Raw genomic sequence first — 18735 nt, forward strand, 5'->3', positions numbered from 1 at the left:
CTTCTTCCTATGGGCCTCTCTTCTTCTTATAAAGACATCAGTCAAACTGGATTATGGCCCACCCTAAGGACCTCATTTTAACTTGATTACATCTGCAAAGACCCTATTTCCAGCTAAAGCCACATTCCCAGGTATTCACTGCATTATCATAGCGATGTTTTTATTTAATTTAATTAATGTATTTTATTTTATTTTATTTTATTTTATTTTATTTTATTTTATTTTGAGACAGTCTTGTTCTGTCGCTCAGGCTGGAGTGCAGTGGTGTGATCTCAGCTCACTGCAACCTCGGCCTCCTGGGTTCAAGTGATTCTCCTGCCTCAGCCTCCTGAGTAGCTGGGACTGCAGGCGCCCGCCACCATGCCCAGATAATTTTTGTAGTTTTAGTAGAGATGAGTTTTCACCATGTTGGTCAGGCTGGTCTTGAACTCCTGACCTCAGGTGATCCACTGGCCTTGGCCTCCCAAAGTGTTGGAATTACAGGCATGAGCCACCACACCTGGGCCTTACCTATTTTTATTTTATTTATTTATTTTTTTGAGACGGAGTCTCACTCTGTCACCCAGGCTGGAGTGCAGTGGTGCAATCTCTGCTCACTGCAAGCTCTGCCTCCCGGGTTCACGCCATTCTCCTGATTCTCCTGCCTCAGTCTCCTGAGTAGCTGGGACTACAGGTGCCCGCCACCATGCCCGGCTAATTTTTAAAATATTTTTAGTAGACACAGGGTTTCACCGTCTTAGCCAGGATGGTCTTGATCTCCTGACCTCATGATCTGCCCCCCTCAGCCTCCCAAAGTGCTGGGATTACAGGCGTGAGCCACTGTGCCTGGCTGTCCTTAACTATTTTTAAATTGGGTTGCTTGGTTTCTTTGTTGCTGAGTTATAGGAGTTCTTTATATATTCTGGATAGTACCCCGTATCAGATATATGATTTGGAAATGTCTTCCCCTATTCTGCAGGTTGTCTTTTTACTTTCTGGAAAATTTTCTTTTTTTTTTTTTTTTGAGACAGAGTCTCACTCTGTTGCACAGTGGTGCGATCTTGGCTCATTGCAGCCTCTGACTCCTGGGTTCAAGCGATTCTCGTGCCTCAGCCACAGGAGCAGCTGAGATTACAGGCATGCGCCACCATGCCTGGCTAATTTTAGTATTTTTAATAGAGACGAGGTTTCACCATATTGGCCAGGCTGGTCTCAAACTCCTGACCTCAAGTGATCCAGCCACCTCGGCCTCCCAAAGTGTTGGAATTACAGGCAGGAGCCACTGCACCTGGCCACCAATTTTTTTCTTTGTGCTTTTGGTATTGTAGCAAAGAAACCCAAGGTCACAAGGGTTTTCTTCTGTATTTTCTTCTAGAAGTTTTGTAGTTTTAGGTTTTACATTTATGTCCATGAGCTTCTTGGATCTGTTATTTGATGTCTTTCATTAATTTTGGAAAATTTATGGCGTTTTATAATTTTTTACTTTTATTAATATAGAGATGGGGTCTCGCTATGTTGACCAGGCTGGTCTCAATGTCCTGGCCTCAAGCGACCCTCACATCTCAGCCTCCTACAGTGCTAGGATTACAGGCATGAGCCACTGCTCCTGGCCTGGCGTTTTAAATTTAAATATTTCTTCCATCCATCTGATCCTTTTCTTCTTCTGGGATTCTAATTACATATATTTTTTAAGACTGTTTTATATTGTCTCCTAACTTTAGGATGCTCTGTTCTGTTTCTGTGTTTTTTTCCCTCCCCTATTTTTTTCTTCTTTTTTTTCCTTAGAGACAGGGTCTCACTCTGTCACCTAAGCTGGAATGCAGGGGCACAATCATAGCTCTCTGTGGTCTCAAACTCTTGGGCCCCAATGATCCTATGGCCTTGGCCTCCCAAGTAGCCAGGACTACAGACATGCACCACCATGCCCGGCTAATTTTTAAAAATTGTTTTGTATAGATACAGGGTCTCACGATGTTGCCCAGGCTGGTCTCAAGCTCCCGGCCTGTAGCAATCCTCCTACCTCAGCCTCCTAAAGTGCTGGGATTACAGGCATAAGCCACTGCTCGTGGCCTAGGTTCACTGATTACTTCCCCAGCTATGCTGAGTCTTTTGATGAGCCTGTCAACATCATTCTCTTTTACTGTGACTTTCATTTCTAGCATTTTATTTATTCTTTCCTATAGTTTCCATCTCTTTAATGAAATTCCCCAACTGTGGGTACATGCTACTCACCTTTTCTCCCATTGCCTTTAACATATTAATCATAATTATTAAAATTCCCTAAAAGTTCCAACATCTGGGTCATATCTCAGTCTGATTTTGTTGATTGCTTTATCCCTTGACGGTGTGTTGCTTTTCTTGCTTCTTTGTGTGTCTCGTATTTTTTTGATTGAAAGCTGGGATCTTGTATAGGATAGTAGAGACTGAGGTAAATAGCATTTACACCTGAAAATGGGCTTACTTCTTCTATTTTTTTTTTAAGCAGTGTTTTGCTCTGTTGCCCAGGCTGAAGTGCAGTGGTACAATCACAGCTCACTGCAGCCTTGAACTCCTGAGCTCAAGTAATCTGCTGCCTCAGCCTCCTGAGTAGCTGGAACTACAGGCATATTCCACGTGCCTGGCTAATTTATTTATATTTTGTAGAGACAGGGTCTTGCTATGTTGCCCAGGCTGGTCTTGAACTCCTGGCCTCAGGTGGTCCTTCTACCTCAGCCTCCCAAAACACAGCTGCATGGCATAGAGATGGGGCCATCACATGGTGAAACCCCATCTCTGCTGAAAATACAAAAATTAGCTGGGCATGGTGGCGGGCGGCTGTAATCCCAGCTACTTGGGTGGCTGAGGCAGGAGAATCGCTTGAACCTGGGAGGCGGAGGTTGCAGTAAGCTGAGATTGCGCCACTGTACTCCAGCCTGGGCGACAGAGCAGGACTGTCAAAAAAAAAAAAAACACCAAAAAACAACAGGTGTGAGCCCCTGTGCCTGGTTAATGCTGCTGCTTTTGCCAGGCCCTTCAGGTAGGGAGCTGGTCAGTCTAGCCAGGAGTTAAGCTGGCTTTGGGGTTTGGTGTTGCTCTGTTGCCCTCAGGGCCCCACAGTTCTCTAGCATCACTTTGCTTAACTAACAACATCGAGCATCTCCTCATGTGCTTATTTACCATACATGTATCTTCTTTGATGTAATGTATTAGTCAAATCTTTTTTTTTTTTTTCTTTTTTGAGACAGGATCTTGACCTCTTGGTCTCAAGTGATCCTCCAGCCTCCCAAAGTGCTGGGATGGCAGGTGTGAGCCACCACACCCAGCCTATTCAAATCTTTTGCCCATTTTTCTTTCTCAGATTGCTTGACATTCCTCTAATATCACTAAGTGTTTAGAGTGGGGCCTGACTTGCTAGAAGGTTTTTTCCCAATGTCCGATCCACTCTCAGTTTTTTTTTTTTTTTTTCTTTTTGAGATGGAGTCTCGCTCTGTCACCCAGGCTGGAGTACAGTGGCGTGATCTCGGCTCACTGCAACCTCTGCCTCCTGGGTTCAAGCAATTCTCCTGCCTCAGCCTCCTGAGTAGCTGGGATTACAGGCACGTGCCACCACGTCTGGCTAATGTTTTGTATTTTTAGTGGAGACGGGGTTTCACCATGTTGGCTAGGCTGGTCTCGAACTCCTGATCTCGGCCTCCCAAAGTGCTGGAATTACAAGAGTGAGCCACCGCACCCAGCCTACCCTCAGTTTTAGGTCTTCTCTTTGCATTTGCTCCCAAGAGAGCATCTCTCCCTGCATTCTTGCCTTTCCCCCAGCAGTAGACCCACAACTGTAACTTGTTATTAGTGATTTTAAGCCTTTTTTATGTTTTTTTTTTTTTTTTTTTTTTTTGCGGGGATGTTGGCGAGCTGGAATGGCATTCTCCATTATTCTGGGTCAGCTCCAGTTTTAGGCAGGAGCTGGGTCTCAGAGCTCCTTCTCCTCCCCCAGTAGCAGATGAGATCTAATAGTCTGAGCCCAGGATGTATTTCTGCCCTTCCCCTAAAATTAAGAGGGTTTTTCTGTTTGATTCCCTCACCTGCAGTGGGTCTTCCTCTGTGCCTTGAGGGCTTTTCCCACCTTGACCCCACTGCTTAAGTCTTTTGTCCCATAAAGGAGAGAATGGAAATAGAGACAGTGAGTGGAGCTTCGTGCTTTCTTGCAGGGACTGCAGGAGGCTTTCTCAGACCTCTTGCCCTGCCCCAACCTTTCTTATGAGCACCTGGTGATGTACCTAGAGAAGAACCTGAGAGTGGGTAAAAATTCTCCTTGTGTCTGCAGCTCCTGGAGATTCTATACTTCACAGTAGCTCGCACTCCACATTTAGCAAGTTGTTAAAATTTTTAGCTGCTGTTTGAGTCCATTTTCTGCTGCTATAACAGAATGCCATAGACTGGGTAATTTATAAAGAACAGAAATTTATTGGCACATGGTTCTGGAGGCTGGGAAATCCAAGATCAAAGGACCAGCATCTGGCAAGGGCCTTCTGGCTGTGTCATCCCATGGCAGAAGTGCAGAGAGGGCAAGAGAGAGCAAAAGGAGCCAAACTTATCCTTTCTTCTTTTATTATTATTATTTTTTGAGACGGAGTCTCGCTCTGTCACCCAGGCTGGAATGCAGTGGCCCAATCTCGGCTCACTGCAAGCTCCACCTCCCGGGTTCACGCCACTCTCCTGCCTCAGCCTCCTGAGTAGCTGGGACTACAGGTGCCCGCCACCACGCCCAGCTAATTTTTTGTATTTTTAGTAGAGACGGGGTTTCATTGTGTTAGCCAGGATGGAAACTTACCCTTTTATAAGAAACCCACTCCAGGCCAGGCATGGTGGCTCATGCCTGTAATCCCAGCACTTTTGGAGGCCAAGGTGGGTGGATCACCTGAGGTCAAGAGTTTAAGAACAGCCTGGCCAACATGGTGAAACCCCGTCTCTACTAAACCTACAAAAATTAGCCAGGCATGGTGTTAGACACCTGTAATCCCAGCTACTTGGGAGGCTGAGGCAGGAGAATTGTTTGAACCTGGGAGGCAGAGGTTGCTGTGAGCCGAGATCACGCCACTGCACTCCAGCCTGGGTGACAGATAAAGACTCTGTCTCAAAAAAAAAAAAAAAAAAAAAAAAAGAAACCCACTCCAGCAATAATGAACCCGCGCCTGTGATGAGGCAATGGGAGGTGGAGGCCACCTCAGGAGGGGGCACTAAAGGGTCTCAGGGCACTGAAGGGTCTCCAGGCACAGGGACAACGTCTGGCTCTTCACTCAGAACTGGATCTGGGAGCTGAGCACAGTAGCTCATGCCTGTAATCCCAGCACTTTGGGAGGCTGAGGTGGGTGGATCACCTGAGGTCAGGAGTTCGATGCCAGCCTGGCCAACATGGTGAAACCCCATCTCTACTAAAAATACAAAAATTACCCGGGCGTGGTAGCATGCACCTGTAGTCCCAGCTACTTGGGAGGCTGAGAGAGGAGAACTGCTTGAGCCCGGGAGGCGGAGGTTGTGGTGAGCCGAGATCGCACCACTGCACTCCAGCCTGGGCGAGAGAGCAAGACTCCCTTTCAAAACAAACAAACAAACAAACAAACACAAAACAAAACAAAACAAAAAAACAAAAACCTTGATCTGGGAATTCAAAGCCCTGAGCTCATCTCTTTTTCTCATTAGTTTTCCAGTGCACTTAGAGGCAACCAAGTGACCCCACAGTCCCTGTGCCCTTTATTTCCACCCACACATTTGATGCCAGTAGTGACTTGGTCACCCGAGCCCTCTGTGGGCCTTGGGTCCAGGGGTTATGTAACTGCTCCACTACTGTGTGCCATGGAGCCCCAGTGTAGTCCCCGGCAGCAGGATCTGAACACCTCTAAATCCACTGAGATTGGAGAACTGATGCTGAGTTCCCATCCTTAAGATTCTCTTCTCCTGGAAGCATCACCAGTACCAACCACTGTATCACTCGGGGTTCAATCAGGGAAGCAAAGCCACTGCGGGTATTATGGGATGCAGATTCATTATGGGGATGGCCTGACACGATTATGGGAGGAGCTGGAGGTGAAGGCCCAGAGGGGACACGGGGGGTCAGAGCTGACACCTCCCAGCGATCTGAGAAGCCAGGTGTGTCTGGCTGCCAGAAGGGATGTGGGGGACGCTCCTGGAGGGTCCCCTGGGAGCTATTGCCTCTGTGTAGCTGCTGCCTCTGTGAGTTCTTTGGGGAGCCTCTGGGGTGGGCCTGGGGCCACTGCTGGTCAGCAGGCCAGCAGTCAGGAAGACCAAGCGCAGGGTGGAGAACGGCGAGGACAAGCTGGAGCCCCCCAGGCCACTGGGTCTGCCTGTCACCATGGCTGCCTCCTGTGACCTTCAGAGAGCAAAGGTCACTGCTTCCCTTCCAATTTCAAAAGCTCCTATGCAGGAAGCACAGAGGGAGGCCTTCTGGGAAACTCGCCTCTCAGCCTCACCAGGTTGGCTTGGCCCCATTGACGTCTCCCTCCCGCCAATCTGCAGGCTGGGTCAGGATCCTCCCAGGCCTTCGCCCCTCCCAGCACCTCCTCCCCAGCTGACTAAGATGCTGGGGTGGGTCTATTCTATTCAACATGGGTGTGACCAGCCATTAGCACAAGCTTGGAACAGAGCAGCGCTCAATGTGTGTTTGGCAAATGGACGGGTGAATGGAGGACGGGATGATGCCTGCTTGGTGCCAGGCCCTGGGCTGGGCGCAACGAACACAGAAAAGTCAGGGAGGAGGTTTGCTGCTGCCAGAGTTGTGGCCTGTACTTATTCTCTGCAGGGCATTTGGCTAAAGGCTGGGGCCGCGGGAGGAAGGTGGAGATAAGCCGAGCCCCCAACAGCTGGGACATGCCTGGATGAATGTGTTCAGGGCCTCAGACAAACCCAGTGAGAGACCAGGCTGGAAGCGCAGGGCAGGTGAGGCCACTACTGGCCAGTGACTTGCGGAGGACTTCCTGCAGCAGGTGGCATGGGGAGGCTGGAACAGGTGGACCCCTGTGGTGGGGCAGGTGCATGCCAGACAGAGGGTGCTTCAATATATGTGTCCCTGCAAAATTTAGATGTTGGGGCTGGGCACAGTGGCTCACATCTGTAATCCTAGCACTTTGGGAGGCGGAGGTGGGTGGATCACCTGAGGTCAGGACTTTGAGACCAGCCTGGCCAACATGGTGAAACCACGTGTCTACTAAAAATACAAAAATTAGCCAAGTAGTAGTGGCATGCTACTACCAGAACAGAATGTGTAACCAAGAGATATAAGCAGAAACCTAGGTCCCAAGTCCACTCTGCTCCAGGCTCAGCCCCTCTGGTCCATTCTCCACAGGCGGCAGGGCCTGCCTGTAAATCCTCCATGGTCCCCCGTGGCCCTCGGGAGGTGGTCCAGCCTCCTCCACGTGACTGCCCCTCTCTCACCTCCTAGCCTTCCACGTGCTGCCCCTCTGTCCTCCCACCCTACCTGCTCCTCCTCAGAGCAGCCTTTCTTGACTCTCTGCCTTGGTCAGGGCCCCCCTGTGCTCCCCAACTTGCCACTCATGGCCCAGTGTCCTGGGACGGTCCCTGTGGCCTGGCTGGACTCTAGGTGGGGGTCTTACACTGTGCGTGCTGGGGGTCTGGAGAGGAGAGGAAAGTGCAGCCACGCAGAGCTGAGAAGGGAAAGGTTGGGGGTGCCTCTCAGGGCCAAACTCTCCTTCCAGATCATTCCTTTTTTCTCTTTTCTTTTTTTTGAGACAGAGTCTTGCTCTGTCACCCAGGCTGGAGTGCAGTGGCGCGATCTCAGCTCACTGCAACCTCTGCCTCCTGGGTTCAAGGGATTCTCCGGCCCCAGCCTTCCGAGTAGCTGGGATTACAGGCACGCGCCATCATGCTCAGCTAATTTTTTGTGTGTGTTTAGTAGAGCGGGGGTTTCGCCATGCTGGCCGTGCTGGTCTTGAACTCCTGACCTCAAGTGATCAGCCTGCCTCGGCCTCCCAAAGTGCTGGGATTACAGGCGTGAGCCACCGTGCCCAGCCCAGATCATTATTGATTTAGGGATTTCCTTGGCTCTGCCTGGGAACAGTTTTCGTGTGACAAACCCAGTTTAGAAATGGCCAGTGAGAATGGTGGCCATCAGCAGGTCCCCATCTTGTACCCATGGCAGGAGAGGAAAGAGAAGTCTCCATGCCCTGCCTTCCTAGATCCTGCTAGCGGGCCTGAGGCTGCACGTGTGGCCTTTCTTTCTTTCATTTTTTTTTTAGATGGGGTCTCCTACTGTTGCTCAAGCTGGAGTGCAGTGGCATGATCACAGGTCACTGTAGCCTCCACCTCCCAGGCTCAAGCAATCCTCCCACCCAAGTAGCTGGGACTACAGGTGCATGCCACCATGCGTGGCTAATATTTAAATTGTATTTTATTTTTCATCAAGTCAGTGCATTTTATTTTATTTTTTAAATTGTTCCTTTTCATTTTTTAATTTTTAATTTTTGGGGGTGTAGTGTAGGTGTATATATTAAATATTTCTGGGGCACACGAGATATTTTAACAGATGCATGCAATGAGTACTAATCACAGCAGGGTAAATGGGGTATCCATCCCCTCAGGCATTTATCCTTTGTGTTACAAACAATCCAATTATACTCCTTTAGTTATTTTAAAATGTCACTTAGGGTAGACGTGGTGGCTCATGCCTGTAATCCCAGCACTTTGGGAGGCCGAGGCAGGCAGATTACCTGAGGTCAGGAGCTCAAAACCAGCCTGGCCAACATGGTGAAACCCCAACTCTACTAAAAATACAAAAATTAGTCAGGCATGGGGTGCGCGCACCTGTAGTCCCAGCTACTTGGGAGGCTAAGGTGGGAGAATTTCTTGAACCCGGGTGGCAGAGGTTGCAGTGAGCCGAGATCAAGCCATTGCACTCCAGCCTGGAAGACAGAGCAAGACTCCGTCTCAAAAAGATAATAAATCGGCCAGGCGCTGTGGCTTATGCCTATAATCCCAGCACTTTGGAAGGCGGAGGTGGACGAGTCACCTGAGACCAGGAGTTCAAGACCAGCCTGGCCAACATGATGAAACCTAGTCTCTACTAAGCAAACAAACAAACAAACAAACAAAAATTAGCTGGGTGTGGTGGCACATGCCTGTATTCCCAGCTACTAGGGAGGCTGAGACAGGAGAATTACTTGAACCCGGAAGATGGAGGTTACAGTGAGCTGAGATCATGCCACTGTACTTCAGCCTCAGCGACACAGAGAGACTCTGTTTCAAAAAAAAAAAAAAATAGGCTGGGCGCAGTGGCTCACACCTGTAATCCCAGCACTTTGGGAGGCCAAGGCGGGTAGATCACCTGAGGTCGGGAGTTCGAGACCAGCCTGACCAACATGGAGAAACCCTGTCTCTACTAAAAATACAAAATTAGCCAGGCGTGGTTGGACATGCCTGTAATCCCAGCTACTGGGGAGGCTGACGCAGGAGAATTGCTTGAACCTGGGAGGCGGAGGTTGCAGTGAGCCAAGATCATGCCATTGCATTCCAGCCTGGTAAAAAAAGTGAAACTCCATCTAAAAAGAGAAAAAGATTACCCTCCCTCCAGCCTGGGTGATAGAGCAAGACTCCATCTCAAAAAAAAAAAAAAAAAAAAATTACCCTCCCTTTTGACCCAGCAATTCCACAACTAGAAATTTACCCCTAGAAATAATTTGGCAAATGCAAAAAAAAAAAAAAAATGTGCACAAGGATGTTCATATAGTGGTGAGGTTGGTGGTGTTTATGAGGGCAAACAATTGGAAGTTGCCAAGATGACCAACAATGGGATTAGAAGAGTAAAGGGTACACAGTCAGGGCTCTGGACATTCTTGAGTAAATGACTGAAATTGTGCTTCCACTTATTTTATTCTCATACATGTCATCCTCATGACCTTAGATGTGAGCCCTGTTATTATCTCCACTTTCCAGATGAAGGAACAAAGGCTCAGAGAAGGGCACAGACTACTGGTGGCAGGGCCAGAACTCATCCTCAGCTGGATCTGATACCAGGACCCGATAAACAAAGGAAGCCAGGAGTCTGAGTACGAATAAAGGAAATCAGGGAGAAGCCTCCAGCGAGTCATTCCTTTGCTTATTGCCTTTATGAAGCTCTCACCCCCAGGCATGCTCTGTGCTCACAATGGCAGCCATTGCTGCGAATCCTTTTTTTTTTTTTTTTTTTTTGAGAGAGTCTTACTCTGTCCCCCAGGCTGGAGTGCAGTGGTGCAATCTCAGCTCACCGCAACCTCCGCCTCCCAGGTTCAAGTGATTCTCCTGCCTCAGCCTCCCAAGTAGCTGGGATTACAGGCGCCCACAACCATGCTTGGCTAATTTTTGTATTCTTAGTAGAGATGGGGTTTCGCCATGTTGGCCAGGCTGGTCTCGAACCCCTGACCTCAGGTGATTCACTTGCCTCGGCCTCCCAAAGTGCTGGGATTACAGGCGTGAGTCACCGTGCCTGGCCCTCGAATACTCTTACTTTTCCTGAAAGGGAAGAGGGCAGCTGTCCCAGGCCCCAGGCCTCACTCTCATAAGCAGTAGGATATGGTGGTCATGAAGGCAGACTCTGGCGCCATGGTGCCTGGGCTCAAATCCCAGCTCTACCACTTACTAGTGGTGGATCTTGGACAAGTGACTTAACCTCTCTTGGCCTCAGTTTCCCCATTTGTAAAATGGGGATAATAACAATAATACCTACCTCATAGGGTTGTTGTGAAGGTTAAATAAATATTTGTAAAGAACATAGAGCCGTGCCCAGAACATAGTATGCCCTGTATCAGTATTTGTTTTTTAAAAAAAATACACACACACAGTGCACATGCATATATAATCATTATGAAAATATTTGAGAGGCAGGCAGAGTGGCTCATGCCTGTAATCCCACCACTTTGGGAGGCTGAGGTGGGTGGATCGCCTGAGGTCAGGAGTCCGAGACCAGCCTGATCAACATGGAGAAACCCCGTCTCTACTAAAAATACAAAATTAGCCGGGCGTGGTGGCACATGCCTGTAATCCCAGCTACTCAGGAGGCTGAGGCAGGAGAATCGCTTGAACCCAGGAGGCGGAGGTTGCGGTGAGCCGAGATCGTGCCGTTGCACTCCAGCCTGTGCAACAACAGCAAAACTCTGTCTCAAAAAAAAAAAAATAAATAAAAAGAAAATGTTTGAGAGTAATTTGAGCAGCATGTATCAAAATCTTTTTCTTTTTTTATTTTTATTTTTTGAGATAGGGCCTTGCTCTCTCACCCAGGCTGGAGTGCAGTGCCATGATCACAGCTCACTGCAGCCTTGACTTCCTGAGTTCAAGTGATTCTCCCACCTCAGCCTCCTGAATAGCTGGGACTATAGGTGTGTGCCACCATGCCTGGCTAATTAATTTTTTTTCTTTTTTTTTTTTTTTTGGTAGAGACAGGGTCTCCCTATGTTGCCCAGGCTGGTCTTAAACTCCTGGGCTCAAGCGATCCTCTCACCTTGGCATCCCAAAGTGTTGCGATTTCAGGTGTGAGCCACCACACCCAGACCAAAATCTTGAATATGCAGCACCGATCCAGCATCCCCATGTGTGGGATCTGACAGACACACTCGCAGAAATTCATAATGATAAATATTCAAGAATGTGGATTGCCATGTTATTTGTAAGGACAAAAATTGGAGACGACACAGAGGTTCATCAAAGGGGAGTGGCTAAATCAGCTATGGTCCATCCACAGGGTGAATACTACCCTGGAGTAAAAGAATGGGTTGTGTGTTTCAGGTTGAATCATCTGAAATTGCTCACATTTGACCACTTTTGACTTCTAAAATGGCAAGATGGCAATTTCAGATGAGTCAATCTAATACTATGCACTTGTATTAGAGTAGAGTGAGCTTTGGTAAGAAATAGACCCAGGCCGGGCATGATGGCTCACGCCTGTAATCCCAGCACTTTAGGAGGCAGAGGTGGGCCCATCACTTGAGGTCAGGAGTTCAAGACTAGCCTGGCCAACATGGTGAAACCCCATCTCCACTAAAAATACAAAAATTAGCCAGGTGTGGTGGCAGGCACCTGTAATCCCAGCTACTCAAGAGGCTGAGGCAGGAGAATCACTTGAACCCAGGAGGTGGAGGTTGCAGTGAGCTGAGATCATGCCACTGCATTCCAGCCTGGGCAGCACAGTGAGACTCCATCTCAAAACAAAAACAAAAACAAATAGACCCAAATATGTACTGGTTTTCCATGAGGTAATTCAGGGACCCAGGTTGAGGAAGCATCTGCATCTTCAACACAGGTTTTCCCAAGCCTGTTGTGTTTAACTCCATCCCAGCTGACGTCACATCTGAGCATGTGGCACAGTCCTTGGCCTATAGTGATTGCTTGATAAATGTGTATGTGGCAGCAGAAATACTCATCATGTCTCCTTCCTTTCCAACAGAATCCCAACTTAGCACCGGCTTAAGGGAAGACTGGGTGATACATTTGGATTAATCTAAGTCATTCGCAGTGGCTCCGTTCTCTTGCCAGTGATTGATTTCCACACAGAAACTGTCAGCGCCTCACAGTGTCCATCCAGTCTTACGTGCTGACACACGGTCCCAGCTTTCGTCTCTTTGCCTGGTGGCTTTCTCTAGCAACCAGAGCTGGCTCTGTGACTGTGTGTCCTGTAGGCCGGAAGTGCCAGAAACTTAAGGCCCACCCTCCAGTGTGGCTTTCAAAGACAGACAACACTGTCTACTTGACCCCTCAGGTGTGGTAACCCCGACATGAGTGTTCCATGCTGTCACGCAGAGCTCCCTAGTGGGATAATGCTCCAATTGTCCACAGGGGCAACTTACCTGGTAACTGGCTGTTTCTCCACCCAAATCTCATCTTGAATTTTAATCCCCATAATCCCTGTGTGTCAAGGCAGGGACTAGATGGAGGTAACTGGACCACGAGGGTGGTTTCCCCCATGCTGTTCTTGTGATAGTGAGTGAGTCTCATGAGAGCTGATGGTTTTATAAGCATCTGGCATTTCCCCTGCTCTCACTCACTCCATCCTGACACCCTGTGAAGAAGGGGCCTGGTTCTCCTTCGCCTTCCACCATGATTGTAAGTTTCCTGAGGCCTCCTCAGCAACATGGAACTGCAAGTCAATTAAACCTCTTTCCTTTATAAATTGCCCAGTCTTGGGCAGTTCTTTATAGCAGCATGAGAACAGACCAATACACTGGCAGATTGTATTTCTCTGTATGCTCTCGTCACAGTGGGCCACTGACTTTTCTCTACCCTTGAACTTGGGCAGACCTTCATACCTGGTGGCCAAAGTGATATTGCAAAATTTCTGAGGCTGGTCATAACAGGAAACATGGCTTCCACCTGGCATTCTCTCCCCCGTTCTCTCTCTCTCTCTCGATGCTTGTCCGTGGAACCCAGCCATTATGTTGAGGAGCGCATGCCACCAGGAGAGGCCACTTGTGAGGGTTTCAGCTGACAGCCCCACCTAGGCCCCTAATGGATGGCCAGCATGTGTGGGTGGCAGCCTTCAGATGATGCCAGTCCCTAGATTTTGAGTTTTGCAGCTGGAGCCCCAGACATTGTGGCACGGAGTCAATTCACCCTTGCTGTCTGCAGTCCTGAGCCATAGAAATCATGAGAAGCAACAAAGAATTATTGTTGTTTTAACCTACTAGGTTTTGGGGTCATTTGTTACACAGCAATAAATAACCAATACAACTATGCACCTTTTTTTTTTTTCTGAGACAAAGTCTCACTCTGTCATCCAGGCTGGAGTGCAATGGCACGATCTCAGCTCACTGCAACCTCCGCTTCCTGGGTTCAAGTGATTCTCCTGTCTCAGACTCCCGAGTAGCTGGGACTACAGACACGCACTACCACGCCCAGCTATTTTTTTTGTATTTTTAGTAAAGACAGGATTTCACCATGTTGGCCAGGCTAGTCTCAAACTTCCGACCTCAGGTGATCTACCTGCCTTGGCCTCCCAAAGTGCTGGGATTACAGGCGTGAGCCACCACGACAGGCGTGCCATGCACACTTTTTTTTTTTTTAACAGCCGAAACCAGTTCAGTCATTTATTTGACTGACAACTTTGAGAAGGACAACAAAATTAAACATTTTTAAATAAAATTCCTATAGAAAACTCAGTCATAGGGCAAATGCCATGCACCTTTTATTTGTTGCTTCTCCTTCCTTATTTGCCCACTCTCCTTCTCGTTTTTTCTAGGATCACCTCCCAAATCAACCATCTACACTCTGGTTCTTATCTCAGTGTCTGCTTCTGGGGGAATGCAGTCAAGGCACACATTATTTGGAAAAGATACACATAGAAAAAGGACAAAAAGATAATTACTGACTGCTTCTTTGGGAGTGAGTTCAAGAACCAGAAACTTTACTTTGTATTCAATACATGTCTGAATTATATACATTTTCAACAATTCTTCATTATACATTATACAGGGTCTGCTCTGTCTCCCAGGCTGGAGTGCAGTGGCATGATCATGGCTCACTGCAGCCTCAATCTCCCAGGCTCAAGTGATCCTCCCACCTCAGCCTCCCAAGTAGCTGGGACTACAGACATGTGTCACCATGCCCAGTTATTTTTTTATTTTGTAGAGACAGGTTCTTGCTATGTTGCTCAGGCTGGTCTCAAACTCCTGGCCTCAAGTGATCCTCCCACCTTGGCCTCCCAAAGTGCTGGGATAATCGGCATGAGTCACTGCACCCAGCCTATCATTACAATTCTTTTAATTTTGATTTTTGTTGGTACATAGTAGTGTATATACTTTCATTTTTAAAAATACAAAAAAGGCCGAGCGCAGTGGCTCACACCTGTAATCCCACTACTTTGGGAGGCCAAGGCAGGTGGATCACCTGAGGTCAGGAGTTTGAGACCAGTCTGACCAACATGTCGAAAACCCTGTGTCTGCTAAAAATACAAAAATTAGCTGGGTGTGGTGGCTCACACCCGCAATCCCAGCTACCCTGGGAGGCTGAGGCAAGAGAATCGCTTGAACCCGGGAGGCAGAGATTGCAGTGAGCCGAGTTTGTACCACTACACTCCAGCTTGGGTGACAGAGGGAGACTCTCTAAAAATAAATACATAAATAAATAAAATAAAAATACAAAAAATTTCCATGAAACCCCAAGTCATAAATTTTATGGTACACATAAAATGTGCCATTGTCAGCATTCTAAGTGTGCAGTTAGTTGGCTTTAGGGATATTCACATTGCTGTGTAACACCATCAACATCCACATCCATCACTTTCTTACCAAAAAAAAGGCTGAAACTCTGCACCCAAGAAATGCTCGCTCCCCAAACCCTCCTCTCGCAACCCCTGGCGGCCTCCATTCTACTTTCTGCCTCTATGAATTTGACATGAATTTGACTGATCTAGGGACCTCATGTAAGTGGAATCAAAACGACAGTATTTGTCCTTTTGTGTCTGGCTTATTTCTTGTAGTACAGTGGTTTCTTAGAGTGGTCCCAGGCTCACTCTTGTGGTCACTACCACCCACGGCCATGCTCCCTGGCACAAGACCTGCACCCACCCTGTGCAGGTGTGGCTGGTGGACGTGGCTGGGGAGCAGGGTGGGAAGCCATGGCAGGACCAGACCCTTCCTTCCGGACCAGCTGTCTGCGCTGCCCCTTCCCCGGTCCCGAGCAGAATTGCTGGGCGAGGGTTAATCAACATTCAGTCATGTTTCCAAGTTTAAATGGAGCATTTGTTTAATTATGTGTAAGTAGCAATACATTGTGGCCATTATCTAAATCACTATTTTATTTCCTGGATGTGGTTTCATAATGCAGGGTTTCTGCTGCAGCCTAGCATCATTAACAGAGAAGAGTTAATGAATATAAAAGCGTAAAGGCTAATTACACTTTAATTTACAATCACAGTCTCATTTTGGGACCGCATGAAATCTGTTTTGAAAACAATTAAAAAAAAAAACCCACTCTTGCCCTGGTAAGTGGAGGGACCCCGGCCAGGAGCGCAGCTCTGGCTTCCATGTGGTGGCTGAGCAGCGCTGGCTGGCACCGGTCCCCGCCCTGGCGCCATTACTGGGAGGCTGACGAGGCCAAGTTCAGCGCCCTGTGACTCTGCCTTTTGTTTCCAGTAATTTTCCTCCCGCCTTCAGTGACTGCTCGTGTGGCTGCCTTTGAGAATTGGGGAACCCCATCTGGACCACCTGTGGTGTGCCCATGTTGCTTTCATGTGGCCTCACCTAGAAGGAAGCCGGTTGAAATTACCTGGCTTTTTCAAAACCAGGTGGGGAGAAGGGAGTTGAGGTCAGGGACACTGACAGTTACAGGGTTTCTGCTGTGAGCCAGTACTATGCTGGGTACTCGTACATATATTATTTATTCCTTGAAATTGCCTATCAATGGCAATTAGTCTCCCAGAAATTTGAATTAGTCCCTCTGAAATGTTTAATGGAACCACAGAATCATTAACTTTCTTAGATATAATAATGGCATATGTGGATGGCTGTCTATTTTTAGGAGATGAAAGGAAGTTTGGGGGTGAAAGGCCCTGATATCCACCACTTACTTTCAAATGGCTCAGGGAGGGAAAAATAATAATAAATAATAATTATATAATAATTATTACATTATTATAATTATAATAATTAATATATTGATATAAAATATATTGGTTATAATTATGTAATTGTAATAATATCATTATTATATATTAGATATATGGCGAGACAGAGACAAAGAGAAAGAGATAAATGGTAAAACAAAATAAGTGGGCAAACTGAATCATATTGATTCTAGGTGGAGGCTATGTATACAGGTGTTCATTGTACTTCCAACTTCTCTATGTTTTGAAAATTTTTATAATAAAAATTAGGAAGAGAAACATTTGTCCCCACAGGCCACCACAACTTGCTTTGCCTTCTTTACTTGTTAAATAAACCTCTTTTCTCCCAACTGAGAAAAGGTCCATTTGCTCAAACCCAGCCTTTGTATGATTTTATGATTTTTTTTTTTTGAGACAAGAGTCTTGCTCTGACATCTAGGCTGGAGTGCAGTGGCATGATCTCAGCTCACTTCAACCTCTGCCTCCCTGGTTCAGGTGATTCTCCTGCCTCAGCCTCCCGAGTAGCTGGGACTACAGGCATGTCCCACCACGCCCAGCTAATTTTTGTGTTTTAGTAGAGACGGGGTTTCATCATGTTGGCCAGGCTGGTCTCGAACTCCTGACCTCAAGTGATCTGCTCGCCTCAGCCTCCCAAAGTGCTGGGATGACAGGTGTGAGCCACCGCGCCCGGCAAGAAACTTAAAAGTGTTTTGATAGAAGAAAATAACTATGATAGAACGACTGATAAAAGTGGGGTTGAAAATTGCATATGTAGCATGATCTTGACAACGTGAGAAAAATAGATATGCAATGACAAATCTGAAAACATCACACATTTCGTTACAATTCAAACAATCATGTGCATTTTAACACAGAGGGTCTGCCCAGCTCACAAATCCACGCATAGGCACCCAGGGCTTCTGCAGCCTTGTGGCTCCGCCCCCTGAAACACAGCTGATTGGATGAGAACAAGCTCTGGTACCCAAGCCGGGCCAATCAGAATGCCCTCCCCGGGAGGTAGAAATCCCAGACTCAGTCTGCACATCTGGGAACCGTCTGGGGCAGTCTCTGTCCCAGGATTGGGAAGCTGGGTGCGGGCGAACACGGAGGAGACCCCCACACACGGAAGCAGGAGACAGTGGGGGACCCCTGGGGGGACCAGCGAGCTTTTCCTGATGCTAGCTCCAGGCCACGGCCTGCCCTGGAATTTCAGGAGACCCCCCTGTAGTGTTTAAGTTCCCTGTTGATATGTTTTGTCTGGCTTGAGTAGGTTTCTGTCACAACCCAAACAGTCCTAACTAATAGAGTGAGCATGCCTTATTTTAATAGGGCGAAGGAAAAGAATAGGAACCACGAGCGACTGCTCACTGGGCCGCACACCCCATGCCGTGCTGCGCCCCGCCTGGCGAAAAGCCCTCAGATCATGTCCGGCTCTCCCGCTTTGCCCTGTGTGGCGAGGCCCGCCCAGCAACTGAGTTTCCTAGGCCTCCCAGAAAGGCCAGTGGGAGACACTGGGGGTCCTCAGCGGGGTGGGAGGACGGGGTAAGCCAGGATATTTCTCCCACTCTGGCTGCGCCATGAGCAGGTGGACAGTGGCTGCGTCTCCTCGGCAGCTCGGGCTCCCCTCCAGCGGGTCCTCCCAGCCTCCAGCGTGCTCCAGGTGGTCTTGCAAACCCCATCTCTTCCTTTTGTCTCCTTGTGCTCAGGGGGAGAGTGGCTTCCTGCTATGATAATTCCTGGGTCGCTGCCCATCCTCTCTGGCTTCTCGGCTCTTCTGGTTCCTGGGTAGTTAATGCCCTGAATCGCATTTCCCCTGTTTGCACACTGTCTTCCTGGTGGGACGCTGACTGATACACATAGATTATCTCATTTCATCCTCGAAACGCCCCTCTGAGGGCGGTATTAGGATCCTCACTTTGCACAGGAGGACACCAGCGCTCAGAGAAACGAAATAATGTGCCCCGAAGTCACTCAGCCTGTCCCAAAGCTCTGAATCCAAGCTCTTATCACTATATTTCACTATACTGCTATTTATTTATTTATTTATTTATTTATTTATTTATTTATTTATTTTTAAGGGACAGAATCTTGCTCTTTTGCTCAGGCTGGAGTGCAGTGGTGTGATCATAGCTCACTGCAGCCTTGAACTCCTGGGCTCAAATGATCCTCCCACCTCAGCCTCCTGA

At 47.9% G+C, this 18735-nt stretch overlaps 1 annotated feature.

Annotated features, from left to right (window-relative positions):
- Positions 8168–8907: an enhancer, noted in NCBI's record as "OCT4-NANOG hESC enhancer chr9:128152293-128153032 (GRCh37/hg19 assembly coordinates)". NCBI's record gives its function as "activates a minimal SCP1, AML or CMV promoter by ChIP-STARR-seq in naive H9 embryonic stem cells {active_cell/tissue: H9 hESC(naive)}" and the evidence as "EXISTENCE:reporter gene assay evidence [ECO:0000049][PMID:30033119]".

Source organism: Homo sapiens, chromosome 9 (genome assembly GCF_000001405.40).
Source record: "Homo sapiens chromosome 9, GRCh38.p14 Primary Assembly".
NCBI lineage: Eukaryota > Metazoa > Chordata > Mammalia > Primates > Hominidae > Homo > Homo sapiens.